The sequence below is a fragment of the Homo sapiens genome, chromosome 5 (genome assembly GCF_000001405.40).
Source record: "Homo sapiens chromosome 5, GRCh38.p14 Primary Assembly".
NCBI classification, from domain to species: Eukaryota; Metazoa; Chordata; class Mammalia; order Primates; family Hominidae; genus Homo; species Homo sapiens.
The window spans coordinates 142,180,536-142,197,058 of record NC_000005.10 but is presented as its reverse complement, the minus strand read 5'-3'; the positions used below and the strand labels follow the sequence as shown (position 1 = coordinate 142,197,058).

Below are 16,523 nucleotides of genomic sequence, written 5' to 3'. Positions count from 1 at the left end.
TTCTAGGAGAGGCAGGAGGAAGCCAGTGCTGGCCTGGTTCGTTTATGGGGAGGGTTTGTTGGACAAGAGCAATGAAGGACTAGTTCCTGGGACTCAGCACTGAGCATGGAAGTGGTTCCATCATGCAGGCTCCTTCTTTGATTCAGGGACCATAGATTTTGGTCACAAGGAAATACTAAGATAATAAGAGTTCCTTGCTTTCCCCTGCAAGGGAATGGTTCACTCTAGGTCAGTGCTTCCAGAGTAGGTTTCATGCAACACTAGTCCCATGAAACTGGGAAGCCCAGTAGTTAAAACATTTGGTGAGGCCGGGCACGGAGGCTCATGCCTATAATCCCAGCATTTTGGGAGGCCGAGGCAGGAGAATCACCTGAGGTCAGGAGTTTGAGACCAGCCTGGCCAACATGGTGAAACCCTATCTCTACTAAAAATACAAAAATTAGCCCGGCATAGTGGTGCGTGCCTATAATCCCAGCTACTTGGGAGGCTGAGGCAGGAGAATCGCTTGAACCTGGGAGGCAGAGGTTGCAGTGAGCTGAGATCGTGCCATTGCACTCCAGCCTGGGCAACAGAACAAGAGTCCGTCTCAAAAAAAAAAAAAAAAAAAAAAAAAAAGTGCCGGGCACAGTGGCTCATGCCTGTAACCCCAGCACTTTGGGAGGCCAAGGCAGGTGGATCACCTGAGGTCGGGAGTTCGAGACCAAACTCCAGTCTGACCAACATAGAAAAACCGTGTCTCTATTAAAAATACAAAATTAGCCAGGCTTGGTGGCGAATGCCTGTAATCCCGGCTACTCAGGAGGCTGAGGCAGGAGAATTGCTTGAACCTGGGAGGTGGAGGTTGCAGTGAGCTGAGATCACACCATTGCACTCCAGCCTGGGCAACCAGAGCAAAACACTGTCTCAAAAAGAAGGAAAAAAAAAAAAAGTTAGCTTTACTTCACCTGCATCCCAAACCTATTGAACCAGGGAACACACACCTCCTGTCATTGCCCCTTCTTTTTAATTTTTTTTTAATTTTGAGACAGAGTCTCGCTCTGTTACCCAGGCTGGAGTGCAGTGGTGAGATCTCGGCTCACTGCAACCTCCGCCTCCCAGTTTCAAGCGATTCTCCTGCCTCAGCCTTCCAAGTAGCTGGGATTATAGGCACATGCCATCAAGCCTGGCTAATTTTTGTATTTTTAGTAGAGACGGGGTTTTACCGTGTTGGTCAGGCTAGTCTCAAACTCCTGACCTCAAGTGATCCGCCCTCCTCGGCCTCCCAACATGCTGGGATTACAGGCGTGAGCCACCATGCCTGGCCCATTGCCCCTTCTTAAAAATCATCAGGTTTTTTACCCTGGAAGTAGTGCTGTAAGGAACACACTTAAGGGAATGTTCCTCTTGACTGATTTGTCCTGGTCGTGCTGGATTTGGGGTCACCACATGAGGCATCATAAAATATTGACATATTTAATTCCATCCATGAACCAGGAACATTTTGCTCCTGAGAAATGTCTGTCTGATAGAAAAAAAAGAATCTGCATCTCAAAAAAGATAAATACATAAATATTTTAAAATATGAAATGATTTAAAAATTTTTAAATCAACATAAGCTTACCTATCTAAGGAGAACATTGAACTTGACAGCCAAAGGACATCTAGCCAGCATGTAGTAAATCTGTAGAAGAAAAAAATCCGGCGGGGCACAGTGGCTCGCACCTGTAATCCCAGCACTTCGGGAGTCTGAGGCGGGAGGATTGCTCAAGCCCAGGAGCTTGAGACCAGCCTGGGTAACATGGCAAGACCCCATCTCTACAAAATCAAAAACTTAGCTGCACGTGGTGGCATGTACCTGTGGTCCTGAGGTGGGGGGACCGCTTGAGCCCCAGGAGGTTGAGGCTGCCGCTCCCTGTGTTCATGCCACTGCACTCCAGCCTGTGTGATAGAGCAAGACTCTGTCTCAAAAAATAATAATAATAAAAATAATTTAGAATTGAAAGAATTATCTCTCTCTCTTTTTTTTTTTCTTTTGAGATGAAGTCTCACTCTGTCACCCAGACCAGAGTGCAGTGCCACCACCTCGGCTCACTGCAACTTCCGCCTCCCAGGTTCAAGCAATTCTCCTGCCTCAGCCTCCTGAGTAGCTGGGACTACAGGTACCCACCACCACACCCGGCAAATTTTTCTATTTTCAATAGAGACGGGATTTCATCGTGTTGGCCAAGATGGTCTTGAACTCCCGACCTCAGATGATCCACCCACCTCAGCCTCCCAAAGTGCTGGGATTACAGGGGTGAGCCACCACACCTGGCCTGAATTATCTCTAATTCATCAATGTCTACCATGAGCTTCTTTGTTAGCCCAGTTCATTTTGATTTATTCAATAACTTAAGCTCTTTAAGCTTCAGTTTCCCTGTCCACCCTACAGGCATGTCATCCAGAGAGGCTCAGAATGGCATGTGTGTGTATGTATACAAGCCACCCAGTGGGTAGCAGTGGGGTGGGGGCTTCCACCAGGTATAGCCTTAAATAAAGAAGCTGCACTTTCTATGCATACTGAGAGTGGTGGGAACAAAAGTTACAGCTCTACTATAAATAAACGGAGGTGTTTCTTTTTGTTAAATAATGATGCTACCTCTCTACGGAACACAATGAGCGAATCCAGAGAGGGCTCAGTCTGTCTACCTGTCTCCTGGGAATAAAGGATTTCTCCTATAAATCACTAATTGCTCACTTTAAGAGAGTATTTTATTTATTTATTTGAGACAAGGTCTGGCTCTATCACCACTGAAGTGCAGTGGTGTGATCTTGGCTCACTGCAACCTCTGCCTCCTGGGCTCAAATGATCCTCCCACGTCAGCCTCCTGAGTAGCTGGGACTATAGGCATGCATCACCACACCCAGCTAACTTTTTACACTTTTTGTAAAGACAGGATTTTGCCATGTTGCCCAGGCTGGTCTCGAACTCATGAGCTCAAGTTAATCTGCCTGCCTCGGCCTCTCAAAGTGCTGGGATTACAGGAGTGAGCCACTGTGCCTGGCGAATAGTTTAAATTCTGAACAAACTGCCAAAGGACAGGTTGGTGGCTTCACTGTGCCAGTGGCTGTGGTTTTGCCTAGGGCCTAATGCATGGGCACTGGAATCAGAAGGCCCGGGGTGCAAATGCTGCTGCCACCATGCCCCAACTTTGTGACCTGGAGCTGCTAACTTCCTCTCCCTGAGGCCAAGTGCACACCTGTAAAATGAGGACAACACTCAGCCCTACCTCACAGAGCCCTTGGGAGGTAGCAAGTAAGGCTGAAGAAGTACTAAGTACAGGGTTTTGTACCTATGCACAGTAATTATTTTTCCTCATCAGCAAGTGAGGGCCAGTTGCGGTAGCTCCTGACTGTAATCCCAGCATTTTGAGAGGCTGAGGCCAAAGGGTTGCTTGAGGCCAGAAGTTCAAGACCAGCCTGGGCAACATAGGGAGACCTTGTCATTATAAAATAAATAAAAAGAAAGTTTTTTTGAAAAGTGAGGATTATTACTATTACTATTTCCATATCTCTCTGCTGCATTGTAAGACATGTGACTATCGAGTGATTGATTTTCTTTTTAAACAGCAGAACTCTTATGTCTGTAAAAGTGAATGCCATTCATTCATGGTCATCTCCAACGGGACTGAGCTGGACATAAGGAGCACTGAATTACAACAGCGCCTGTGCCCCGTCCCCCTGGGACTGCACTAAGCGAGGCTAGGAAGGACACTGTGCACTTTCTCTCGCTTTATCTTCAGGGTCCAGCACAAGGCCCAAGAACACAGTAGGGACTACATTCATGCTTTCCCAGTGGCACCTTGCCCTTGTTGGCAATGTTTTCTGGCCTTCAGATTCTGAGCCATCAGCTCTGGCATAACCTCAGTGGTGACAAGCCTTCAACTTTATTTCTGGAAACCGTAGGCCATTTGGAGCTCAGACGGCAAATAAGGTGAGGAGGAGTTTGTCCAATGATGGTGAGTGAGACCATTTTTGGTCAAAAGTGCAAGGAAGCAGTTCAGCGTGCAGGCCCTGTGAATGGGGGTGCCCCGCGGGGCAGAGAATACGCGAGTGCAAGTAAACGTCTGGAAACAGCGTGCACGCCTTGGTGGTCAGCAGGTCAGCTGGCTGGAGGTGAGGACTGATTTGTCTCTTTAAGTCTGTGGCCTTAACTCTGGGCCTTAACTCTGGGGCTTCCAAGTCACAGTGGTGGAAAATTCTGATTGTTTCATTTTAAAGGACAAAATAATAATTTGTCCTTAGATGATGTGTATGTGGTGCGATTTTCTATTAAAAAGAAGGAGTATATATGGACTATCTCAGGAAGGATATGATGGAAACCGGTAACAGGGCCTGCCTCTGGGGTGGCAGTGGGGGAGGGGGCTGGGGACAAAGGTTCCGGGGGCCATGTATTTTTCTCATACCGCATTGTGTACCTTTTAGATTTTATACTATTTGCATGCTATTGCCTATTAAACAATTATGAGCAACAGAGCAGGAAAAGCAGGAGGAAGCAGCAGCATTCCTTTCCTGTATAATAAATATTTAACCTAAGTTTTCTCTCTAAAAAAAAAAAAAGTAAACCATAAAAGGATTAACAGGAAGCGAATGACCCCATTGGGCCTGTTAGCACATCCCAGGGTTGCTCTCCCAGCCTGACAAAAAAGAAGTACGTTTCGCTTCCCCAAACTATGTAGGCTTGTGGTTGAAGACAATAAATACCCTTACCCTAGACCCCCATGGATAATTTGCAATAATCAACTTTACAAATAATAATCCTGTAAATTACATTTTGAAAGAAAGGGCTCAATCCATCAGCTCCTACACTCCTCCCTTTGTTGCCAGTTCACTGCTCAGACACCTCCCCTTAAGGGCGAGAGGGACAAAGAAGGGTTAGAATCCAGCTTTTTCATCACCTCCTCCATGAAGGCTGAGCTCTAAGACCACAACCCGTGACTGAAGCGAGGGTTTTGGATCATTTGTAATTGTTCTTGGACGACCCACGATTTTTTGTTTGCTAACACTAGTCCTGGGAGGAAATGAATTAGCTTTAACTGAGGACAGGTAGGAGGCCCAAATTCCTTCCACTGTAGATTTTACATTCTAAATGAATGACTGTGTGACAGGCTCTGGGGAGGAACCAGGGACAGTCACTTTTGTCTCTGACATGCCCAGTATCCTTTCCTCTGCCTTCAGGAACAGCTCCCAGGGTTGGTTTGGGATCCACCCTGCCACCCTCAAGGTGAGGCTCCAAAACACAGCCATGGGGAGGAACACACGTCCTAGCCTAAGCCAATCACTGTTCCAGATTCCCTGGGCCACGGGGCTTAGATCAGGAAAGGAAAAATGGCCCCAGGGGAGCCAATGGGCCACAGAGGCCTTTCCTGGGAATGCAGAGCCAGAGACGGGCACTCTCTCTGGCTAGACTTCGATCCTGAGGCTGAGGGGCTGCTGGTGCCACCCCATCTTGTCTTCACAAGGAGTCTACGGCGAGAAGAGAGGGAAGAGAGAGTCCAGGGTTGATGTGTGTCCTCTTTGGGCCCTGAATCCCTTCCATTCTCATCCCCACCCCCAGGCATCCTTGTATATGATCCAATAAATTGCTTCTTTTTTCTTTTTTTCTTTTCTCTTTTGTTTTTTTTTGAGACAGAGTCTCACACTGTTGCCCAGGCTGGAGTGCAGTGGTGCAGTCTCGGCCTACTGCAACCTCTGCCTCCCGGGATCAATCCATTCTCCTGCCTCAGCCTCCCGAGTAGCTGGGATTACAGGCGCCCACCACCATGTCTGGCTAATTTTTTCTATTTTTAGTAGAGACAGGGTTTTCACTATGTTGGCAAGGCAGGTCTCGAACTCCTGACCTTGTGATCCACCCACCTCAGCCTCCCAAAGTGCTGGGATTACAGGCGTGAGCCACTGCGCCCAGCCAAACTGCTTCGTTATTAAGCCAGAGTGGGCATGGGCTTTTCTGGGTCTTATAACCAAAATGGTCCTGTGTGACATACTAGTGTGCAAACTCTCGGAGACTGAAGCTTGAATCAAAAGCTGGAAAAGCAGTGGGACCCACTTTGACCAGTGAGCATCTTTGAATTAAACCCTGGACTATTCCATCAAAGTTACCATGGCCTATATTCTGTTACCTTTCTTCTCTTGGGAACGTGGGAATAGCAGAGGGAAAAAGCCTGAAATGTACGTTAATAGTAGGCCATTTAACGGAGGTTTACCCGCCATCTTACTACTGGTAGCCCACTCCCTCCCACTAAAAGGGCATTTTTTGCCCAGCCCCAGGGCTTAGAGTTCAGAGCTGCCTCACAATTTCACTGAAGAGCAGGACATTCTCTTACTGGGAATCACAGAGTCCTCTGAAAGCACAGGCCCTTATAAGTAAGGAATGAGCCTGAAGATAACACAGGGTTAATAATCTGCTTGTCAACACTTTGAAACTCTCTCTCAAAGTCAGTTCGCAGGCAGCAGAGCTAGCTGATGAAACCCTGAATCAGAGTCCTCATATGGGATATTTCCTCCCCTCTGAGCTCCAAACTACCATTCTGTTTCTTTGATGGTATAGGAAATTCATGGACTTATTCCCAAATTGAACTCTCAGAACATACTGGCCAACATAGCACGATCCCATCTCTTAAAATTGTGTGTGTGTGTGTGTGTGTGTGTGTGTGTGTGTGGAGGGGGTGCACACCTGTGGTCTCAGTTACTCAGGAAGCTAAAGCAGAAAGATCACTTGAGTCCAGGAGTTCGAGGCTACAATGAGCTATGATGGTGCCACTGCACTCCAGCCTGGGTGACAGAACGAGACCCTGTCTCAAAAAAATTTTTTTAAAGTGAAACACATAAAAAGATGCTCAGCACCTCTAAAACTAAAAACGAGTTATAATTTTACATCCACGAGATGGACTATGATGAAAACAATGGATAACATCCAACCCTGGTGAGGGTATGGAGAAATAAGTGCTCTTGTATCATGTTGAGGAGAGTGCGTATTATTAGTACACGGCCCCCTGCAGGTCTTCCTCTCCCCGCACATGCACACATGCTGCACCCCACATCAAGAGGCAGAGCTTGGCTCCCACCCCCTTTGAATCTGGGCTTGCCTTGTGACTGACTTTGATCAATAGAGTATGGCAGCAGTGACATTCTGGAACCCGGACCCATGCTGCGAGAAACTCAAGCCACATGGAGAGACCAGTAAGAGGGAAGCCAAAGGCGCTCCTGGGGATAGCCCCAGCCCAGCACCAGCCAGCACCAACTACCAGCCCCACCAGTGAGAACGTTCGGACCCTCCCTGTCCAGCACCACAGGAGGCAGAGCCACCACTTAGTCCACCTACAGAAACATGGGGAATAATGAATTATTGTTTTAAGCCATTTAATTTCGAGGGATTTGTTACTTAGGAATAGATAACAGAAACAATATTCATTGTCATCTTGTATGAAATAGAGAAAAAATTGGAAGCAAAAAGCCATCAGTAGGAGAATGGTTGCATAAATTATAGTCCAGCCATACCAGAAATGCTGCACAGCCATTAAGAAGATTGCTGTGAATCTGAATGAAGTGACAGAGGAAGGCCCCCAAGATAGGTTAATGAAAAAAACAATTTTTTGTTTGTTTTTTGAGACGGAGTCTCGCTCTGTCACCAGGCTGGAGCGCAGTGGCGCAATCTCGCTCACTGCAACCTCTGCCTCCCGGGTTCAAGCGATTCTCCCGCCTCAGCCTCTAGTAGCTGGGACTACAGGCACACGCCACCACACCTAGCTAATTTTTGTATTTTTTAGTATCGATGGGGTTTCACCATGTTGGCCAGGATGGTCTCAATCTCTTGATCTCATGATCTGCCCTCCTTGGCTCCCAAAGTGCTTTACAGGTGTGAGCCACCGCACCCGGCCAAAAAAAGCAATTTTTAAAACCATATGCCTAGTATGATTTTGCTATGTAAAAAATATGTGATTTGGGTAAACACATTTAAAACTATCAAAAAGATATACACCAAACCATCAACAGTATTTACTTATTGGGGGAAAAAATGGATTTGGGGCAAAAAAGCGTATACAAACTTTCACTTTTGATTTCTATACAGTTTAATTTCTTCTGCTGCTTCTTCCTCCTCCTCCTCTTCTTCTTCCTCTTCCTCCTCCTTCTTCTTCTCCTTCCTTCCTTCCTTTTTTTTGACGGAGTCTTGCTCTGTTGCCCAGGCTGGAGTGTAGTGGTGCAGTCTCGGCTCACTGCAACCTCTGCCTCCCGGATTCAAGTGATTCTCCTGCCTCAGCCTCCCGAGTAGCTGGAACTATAGGCATCCGCCACCAAGCCCAGCTAATTTTTGTATTTTTAGTAGAGACAAGGTTTCACCATGTTGGCCAGGCTGGTCTCGAACTCCTGACCTTGTGATCCGCTCACCTCGGCCTCCCAAAGTGCTGGGATTACAGGCTTGAGCCACTGTGGCCGGCCTTCTTTCCTTCCTTTCTTCCTTCCTTCCTTCCCTTCCTTCCCTTCCCTTCTCTTTCCTTCCTTCCTTCCTTCCTTCCCTCCTTTCCTTCTTCTTCTCCTTCTTCTTCTTCTTCCAATGAGCATGTACTCATGTTTTATAGTTTTATAATCTAATAAAAGAGGACAGATTTCCAAGCTTTTTTAACCCAGTCCCCTGGCTTCCTGAGAAGTTAGGTTGAGTCCGGTCTCATGTTAGCTGTCCTTTCACTGAGCACCTATGATAAAACCAGGCACCCCACATACTATTTCCAGTTCTCACAACAACTAGGCATTATTTTTCCAGTTTTAGAAATGCGCCCATGTGGGTTTAGAATGGATAGGGAATGTTCCAAGTGTCACCCAACTGAGTGGCGGAACCAGTGTTTTAATCCAGGTGGACCCCACTTCAAAGCCCTGGTGCCCTTTCAGGTAAGACCTGGGCCGGCCTGAAGGAGCTGATGGTCTGGCCGGGGACAAGAACTCACACATGGACAGAAACTACTGGATGCAATGACTGCACACAGGGACCTGGGTTCAAATCCCAGCTTCACTGCTGACCAGGTATGAAGCTGTGGACTAGTGACAGCCTCCTGTGTCTTAGCCATTGAGCAAGCATCTACTAAGTACCTCCCAGGTGACAGGTACTGCTCATGCCAGGTCCCCACCACCTTGGGAGGGAAATCCCTGCCCCATGGAGCTCATGATATAATACTTGAGCCAGATATGAAACAAGTAACCAGATAAACACATGATGTAACCACAGAGGATAATAAAAGCTAAGAAAAAGAAATACTGCCAGATGCAGTGGCCAGACATGTAGTCCCAGCTACTCAGGAGACTGAGGTGGGAGGTTCACCTGAGCTCTGGAGGTTGAGGTTGCAGTGAGCTGTGATCATGCCGCTGCACTCCAGCCTGGGTAAGAGAGCAAGACCCTGTCAAAAAGAAAGGAAGGAAGAGAGGGAGGGAGGAAGAAAGGGAGGAAGGAAGGGAGGGAGGGAGGAAAAGGAAAGAGAACAAAACATAAAAATGCCTCAATTTTCCTGTCTGTAAAATGGGATGCTGATGATGCCAATTTCACAGGACTCTCGTGCTGAGTCAATAAAATATTTTCTGTCAGATGCTTAGTGCCAAGCTGGGTGCACAATGAGTAAATGGGAGTGACGGTGCTGATATGCTAAGCTGTGTTTGTACAAGCTGTGATAAAGAATTTTTAAAAGGTGCATGACAAATATTTGCTAAATGAATGCAACAAAGAGCCATCACCTGGGCTAGAGCAGTCAGGGAGGACTTCCCAGAGGAGGCACCAGAGGAGCCTCTGCTCAAAGCTGGACCACACTCTGTAGGGCAAAGGCCTCCACCCTGCGCAAGAGGTTCTGGAGTGTCCAAACAGAAGACAGAGGCAAGGCAAACAGGCCAAGCACCCTGCTAATGTGGTTAGTTTGGGCCTTATCTCTGAAAGGAGCTGGGTCTCAGACAGCTTGTCGGGGCTGACCACAGGGCCTGCCGAGAAACCAGATTCAGAACATGCGCTTGCTGCTGCCACCACCGGGAGGGCGGTGCGGGTGGGGGTGCAGGAAGGCCTGGGGGAGCGCCGGGTTATTTGTTATGGGGTGAAGAGGAAGCTGTAAGTGGTCCTCTGTCCTCCATTAACAGCAGGATGGAGTCAGGCTGGAGCCACCAGCTTTGGAGTCAGCCTTGTTTTTTAAACACACATGGCTGGCCCAGGCCTTTTAACCCCCAAACACCCCAGGGTTCCTGCAGGAAAAAAACAGTAGCCTTTGGTCTAGAAACTCTGCAGCTGGGGTGTAGCTTAGGGCATTTCTTTTTAGCTCAGAAACAAACAGAAGATAAGAATATTGTGATAAAAGGAACTGTACTTTTATAATGGATTATTCAAAGTCAGGGAGTCTGGGATGGTTATAATTCTTTATACTTCAGACTCTTTAATGTACATCCACAAAGCTAAGAGCAAATAATAAAAATGGATTATCCTTGTCTGCAAAGAAACACAAACTATTTATTTCTACCCAGTCCTCCCCCACCCACTCTCATCACCAAAAGTTGATGCAAAGAAATATAAACGATTTACTGCAAAGAAATACAAAGGATTTATCTCTCTCAATCCTCCCCCACCCACTCTCATCACCTGAAAGTATGAGACCTAGAACCATTTACACAAGTCTATGAGTACTTCACCCCCTCTGAACCTCCCCCAACCCTGTTCATTGGGACCCATTCTATAGCACTCTTCGGTGGGGTGAAGGGGTGATTGTACCAGTGATTCTTAACTTTTTGGAGAAGTCCCAGACAATTTGGGAAGCTCATGAAGGCCATGGACCCTCTCCCTGGAAAGATGCACACCACACAGAATTGTGCACTGTATTTCAGCAGTTCCAAGACTTCTCAGTCTTGGAACAGTACTTCCCAGATACAGTACTTCCCAGGTCAGACCGATTGGTAAATTTCTTCCAGCTCTTATTCTACAACTGATTTGCTCCCATTCAATACATGAGATAATCCTTAGCAATCAGTCTGATGATAAAAAAAATCTCAGTGGCTCAGAAACACCCAGGAAGTGTTTCTAAGGCTCAATAGTTAGTAGGGTAAGAACGGTTACCACTGTGGGAGGACTAGGGCATTTGCAGCAGGCACCTGGATAGCAGCTCTGAATCCCCACTTAGACTGGTGACATGAGGATAGGGTCCCTAGGACCCTTACGGCCAACAGGATTTCCACTGCCTTATACCCACAGATAGGCTGAGAAGGTGAAGCTTCTCCAACCCCCCAGTGCCCATCATGTTCTCATGAGGTCTCACTCTGAGGCTATGCTCAGGCCCTATACTCCACAACAGGGGTCTGCAAGACCATGCTGCTGAGCAGGGGGCAGGCTGGGTCTGAGAGTCCAGTCCAGATGGGTTTGGGCCCCAGACTTTGGAGAAAAGGCAGAAGTGAACACAGACTAACCATGTCCTCATCCAGCCTGGATGAAGGATGACCCAAAGGCTGGAGCTACGGTTCACCCCAATCCAAACAACTACTGTGGAGGGTGTGGGAGGCTGTGTTTTCCAGAGCTTGCAGTTCTTTATCTACCAAATCGGGCTTCTGTACCACCTCCCCTCTCCCTGACACACAAGAATCATCCCAGCACTTCTGGAAAAGTTTCCAAGGCAAAACTGCTGCCCTGAAGGCAGTCCCTTCAGGAACCAGGGTGATCAGGACAAAGCAATTTCAGGAGGCGGGAAGATCATAATCCACAAGACTTTGGTCAGGCTCAGTGGGAGCAAGCCAGCCCCAAAATGCGGTAATGATTACTAACAGACGATGCTCCCAACCTTACACGTGTTCCACATCCACAAACTGGAAAAAATTGTCAAATTAAATATGAAACAGGAAGTAGAGATAAAGACCCATGCACACACTGCGCACAAACTCACATACACTCTTCTCGTTAGCATGGGATGAAAGCCAGTGGTGACGATTTTTAATTAGAAAGGAGGACTCATAGCTGCCTCCCAAGGCCAAGGCACTCGGCTCTGAACACCAGGCCAGAGTTAACCCTTGCAGCTCCAGGGCGGTGCCTCATTATAAATGGCCCCACTCTACAAAAATTAGCTGGGCATGGTGGTGGGTGCCTGCAGTCCCAGCTACTTGGGAGGCTGCGGCAGGAGAATTGCTTGAACCCAGGAGGCAGAGGTTGCAGTGAGCCAAGGTTGTGCCACTGCACTCCAGTCTGGGCAACAGGGCAAGACTCTGTCTCAAAAAAATAAAAAAAAGATAAATGGCCCCTGCCGGGAGTGGTGGCTCACGCCTGTAATCCCAGCACTTTGGAAGGCCGAGGCGAATGGATCACCTGAGGCCAGGAGTTTGAGACCAGCCTGGCCAACATGGTGAAACCCCATCTCTACTAAAAATACAAAATCAGCGGGGCGTGGCGACGCATGCCTGTAATCCCAGCTACTCGGGAGGCTGAGGCAGGAGAATCACTTGAACCCGGGAGGTGGAGGTTGAAGTGACCTGAGATTGCGCCATTGCCCTCCAGCCTGGGCAGCAAGAGCGAAACTCTGCCTCAAAAAAAAAAAAAAAAGAAAAAAAGATAAACGGCCCCACTGCTAGAGGAAGCTCATCAAAGTTTTCTAACCTTGCTTGGTTAATTAAAGAATCATTAAGAAATGGGTGGAGGGGATAGGAGGAAGAAAGGAAGAGAAGAGAAGAGAAAAAATCAAGGGGAGAAGAGACTCTCGTGGCAGCATCAACCCCTCCACCAGGAGAGTGCTGGTGTGGAGGCCATGCCCTCTGAAGCCTGAGAGAGACAGGTTAGACTCCCAGCTTTTCTGTTCACCAACTATGTAACCATGGACTTACCCATCCTCTTGGTTTCAATTTTCCTTGTCTGTGAAATGGAAATGATAGCATGAACTTGACAAGATTGTTGTTAGGATTAAATGAGATATGTATGAAAAGCACCTATTTGCTTAGAACATTATAAATTCTCCAAAATGATGGCTACTACCTGGCCATTAAATTAGTTTCATTATTATTCTTTAGTCTTCTTCTGACCATGTTTGAGGAAAATCTTTCCTCTAAATAAATATAAGGGGATAAACTATCTCCTGTAGATACTGATTTCAAAGTGTGGGGATAGGGTAGGGAAAGTAAGTAGTTGCCTTTTCCTTGAACGGATTCGCCACTCCCCCCCACCACCATCACTGTGTCAGCTGAGAGTGAAATGTGACATCCTGGATGGACGAGTCCAGCAGTTGTCCTTTAGGGAAACCAGCCCACGCCCTACAGAAAAAGACAACCAGAGCTCTAAAACAGGAGCTAACGCCCCACCCCACCCGAACCCTTTCCCTGCCCATCACTCCTGAGTAGCATTTGACTCCAGCTTAAGTTGCTGCTTGAACGGCAGTTTACTGACAGCGATGCAGGTGCATGCATTTCCCCCTTCCTCTTACCAAGTCTATCTGAGAAAGAACAGGCAGGAGAAAGTGGGCTTGATTCTTTCTAAAACAAAAATGATCATTTTAGAGATAATCGTTATCATCCTGAAAGAGCTCTTCACATCTCAATGACCAGCTAATGCATAGAATATTGCTGGGCACATAGTAGGTGTGCATAAATACCTGTCGAGTGTCCAAATGGACAAAGTGACCCAGTCCCCACAGTGGCTACTCCTGAGGCACTCACATGTCAATAATAGAGACATACAGAAAGAACTCTCCCCCCAGACCCCGAACAAGTTTCCAGGTACAGGGTCATAGTACGCAGTTAAATTATGGCTTCCAATACATTTACAAAGTCAGTTTTGAAAAGAATTTGTTTCTCTCTTCCCTGTCAGCTTTATTCACCTACTCTTACTAAGACATTGGATCCAGTACCTGACACATAGCAGGTTTGTAATAAATAGGTGTGTAATAAAAAGTAATGAATGCATTACTGATGTCAAGAGCCACACTGCTGGCCTGATATAACCGTCAGAAAAATACGGCAGCAGAGCCCCAAGCAAGCCAGCCATGTGCATTTTCTTCCATTAGCGTCCTGTACCAGATAGTATCTTTCTAAATGGAATCATAAGACCTGACCTGGTATAGGAGTGCAGCACTGCTGGCTGACTCCAGTGACTCAAGCCGCATGGTTTAGAAAAGAACAGCCCACTTTTTATTAGTAGCAGTAGAAACAGTGCCAGTAATTGACATTTTGTGAGCATGTATTTGCCGGACTCCATGCTGGCTGATTTACATCTGATATATCTTTTAATTCTCACAACAATCTTATGAAGTAGGTTATATTATCCCCATTATACAGATAAATAAACTGTAGCTGAGAGAAGTGAAATGACTTGCCCAAGGCTGTGCAGCTAGTCTGTGTGCCTCCAGAGGGCTTTCTCATCACACCTCTGAGCTCTGACTCTCCAACCTGCCCCAGCTTTTCCCTGCATTCCAATCTCACCCAACAGTATCCATTCCTCCAACACCTCCAGACATCTGTTCAAGCATTTTCCTTGGTCTGGAAAGTCCTTCCTATCTTTGCCAACCATGGAAAGGCTCCCTATATTAGTCTATTTTCACACTGCTATAAAGAACTGCCCCAGACTGGGTTATTTATTTATTTATTTTTGAGATGGAGTCTCACTCTGTTGCCCAGGCTGGAGTGCAGTGGCGCAACCTTGGCTCACTGCAACCTCTGCTTCTCAGGTTCAAGCGATTATCCTGCCTCAGCCTCCTGAGTAGCTGGAATTACAGGCGGCCGCCACAACGCCCGGATAATTTTTGTATTTTTAGTAGAGATGGGGTTTCACCATGTTGGCCAGGCTGGTCTTGAACTCCTGACCCCAAGTGATCTGCTCACCTTGGCCTCCCAAAGTGCTGGGATTACAGGTGTGAGCCACTGTGCCTGGCCGGGACTGGGTAATTTATAAAGAAAAGATGTTTAATTGACTCACAGTTTTTCAGGTCTGGGGAGGCCTCAGGAAATTTAGAATCCTGGCAGAAGGAGAAGCAGTCACGTCTTACATGGAGCAGGCGAGAGAGCAAGTGTGTGAAGGAGACACTGTCAAACACTTGTAAAACCATCAGATCTCGTGAGAACTCACCCACCATCACGAGAATAGCATGAAAGAAACTGCCCCCGTGATTCAATCACCTCCTTCCCTTGTCACATGGGGATTAGAGGTCCCTCTCTCACTTAACATGTGGGATTACAATTCAAGATGAGATTTGGGTGGGGACACAGAGCCAAACCATATCACTCCCCTTATCTTTCAAGGCTTTGCCTAAAGTCTGCTCCCCTCTAAAGACTTCCCCAGCCCTCCTCACAGCCTGAGGCAGAACCGCTGCTCCCATTCTTGGCCTGTAGTTCAGAGCATCAGGGCACAAACTCACTGTGCTTGCAGGGAAGAGTCAGGATCAGTTCACCTTTGCACCTCCAGCACCTAGCACAGTCAGCTACCTGCCACTCGGCAGAAATTCAATAAATGTCTTATAATTAAGTAAAATCAAGCATATCATTCCCAGAATAACAAAATAGAGAGCAAACCTTCCAACCCCAGGACATTCTGGTCCCGTCTGCTCCCTAAGAAGTAGCTGACTGCTCTGGTTGAGAGGGGAGCAGAAAGAAGCTTAGAATTAGGCTGAGAGCCCCGCAAGCAGCCCTGGCAGGGGTCCAGCTCAGGGAGAGCCAGGTGGGGCTCCTACAGCAGCCTTTGTGATAGTGAGGAGCTAGGCAAGCTCAGCTGGGTAAAGGCCATTTGGTTCTGGGCGGTCATGGCCCTGAGCCTGCAGACAAGGCCTGCAGCACCAGCCCTGCACGCCCTGCGGTCCCTTTGGGTCACCCACACTCACTGGCCGCCTCTCTTCGTTTCTGATTCCACCTCAGAGAGTTATTGCCTTTATCACAAGGAAGCCAGGAGAACAAGTTACCTCCTGGGCTTATCTTCAAGTCCAAGGGTCTCCTTGCTGCTGGAACAGGAGGCTGTTCCCCCTGCAGTCCCAGCTTTTCCTGTTTGCTCATCTCTCATCAGAGAATTCTGAGCAGAGGAGAGAAGAAGCAGACGAAGGAGAAATTGTACCATGGAGACACCTGTGAAGGGCTGGACTGAGGGCTGGGCTGAGGCAGGCATGGGGCTCTTCCTGGACAGCAGGGTTGTGGGGTCTGCTTGTTGCCTTCCAGCCACAGAATGAATTAAAGACCCTTGGAAATCTCTTCCAGCCCCACATTCTAGAATCTTTCTGAAGATTGGTCACATGTGCCTGTGGGCAGGGTAGCCATAATTTATTGTTCTGAAATACTTTTTTTTTTTTTTTTGAGACGGAGTCTCGCTCAACTGTTGCTCAGGGTGGAGTGCAGTGATGCGATCGTAGCTCACTGCAGCCTCAACCTTGTGGGCTCAAGTGATCCTCCCACCTCAGCCTCCCAAGTAGCTGGGACTACAGGCGTGTACCACCACGGCTGGCTAGTTTTTGTATTTTTTGTAGAAACAGGGTCTTGCTACGTTGCCCAGGCTGGTCTCAAACTCCTGGGCTCAAGCGATCTACCTACCTCAGCCTCCCGAA

At 47.5% G+C, this 16,523-nt stretch overlaps 1 long non-coding RNA gene across 1 annotated transcript in view, besides 5 other annotated features; it reads left to right on the top strand.

The window, feature by feature from the left end:
• The first annotated feature begins 3,997 nt into the window (after positions 1-3,997).
• Positions 3,998-16,523, top strand: part of LOC107986455 (uncharacterized) — a 38,651-nt gene continuing 26,125 nt past the window's right edge. Inside the window, exon 1 of the long non-coding RNA XR_001742907.3 lies at positions 3,998-4,134. This is a non-coding gene — a long non-coding RNA (uncharacterized LOC107986455). The remainder of the gene's footprint in view (positions 4,135-16,523) is intronic.
• Positions 9,460-9,989: an enhancer, noted in NCBI's record as "H3K27ac-H3K4me1 hESC enhancer chr5:141566635-141567164 (GRCh37/hg19 assembly coordinates)". NCBI's record gives its function as "activates a minimal SCP1, AML or CMV promoter by ChIP-STARR-seq in primed H9 embryonic stem cells {active_cell/tissue: H9 hESC(primed)}" and the evidence as "EXISTENCE:reporter gene assay evidence [ECO:0000049][PMID:30033119]".
• Positions 10,963-11,858: an enhancer, noted in NCBI's record as "H3K27ac-H3K4me1 hESC enhancer chr5:141564766-141565661 (GRCh37/hg19 assembly coordinates)". NCBI's record gives its function as "activates a minimal SCP1, AML or CMV promoter by ChIP-STARR-seq in naive H9 embryonic stem cells {active_cell/tissue: H9 hESC(naive)}" and the evidence as "EXISTENCE:reporter gene assay evidence [ECO:0000049][PMID:30033119]".
• Positions 11,859-12,755: an enhancer, noted in NCBI's record as "H3K27ac-H3K4me1 hESC enhancer chr5:141563869-141564765 (GRCh37/hg19 assembly coordinates)". NCBI's record gives its function as "activates a minimal SCP1, AML or CMV promoter by ChIP-STARR-seq in naive H9 embryonic stem cells {active_cell/tissue: H9 hESC(naive)}" and the evidence as "EXISTENCE:reporter gene assay evidence [ECO:0000049][PMID:30033119]".
• Positions 15,289-15,489: a silencer, noted in NCBI's record as "peak5506 fragment used in MPRA reporter construct". NCBI's record gives its function as "represses an SCP1 promoter by STARR-seq MPRAs in K562 erythroleukemia cells {active_cell/tissue: K562}" and the evidence as "EXISTENCE:reporter gene assay evidence [ECO:0000049][PMID:32103011]".
• Positions 15,716-16,234: an enhancer, noted in NCBI's record as "H3K4me1 hESC enhancer chr5:141560390-141560908 (GRCh37/hg19 assembly coordinates)". NCBI's record gives its function as "activates a minimal SCP1, AML or CMV promoter by ChIP-STARR-seq in naive H9 embryonic stem cells {active_cell/tissue: H9 hESC(naive)}" and the evidence as "EXISTENCE:reporter gene assay evidence [ECO:0000049][PMID:30033119]".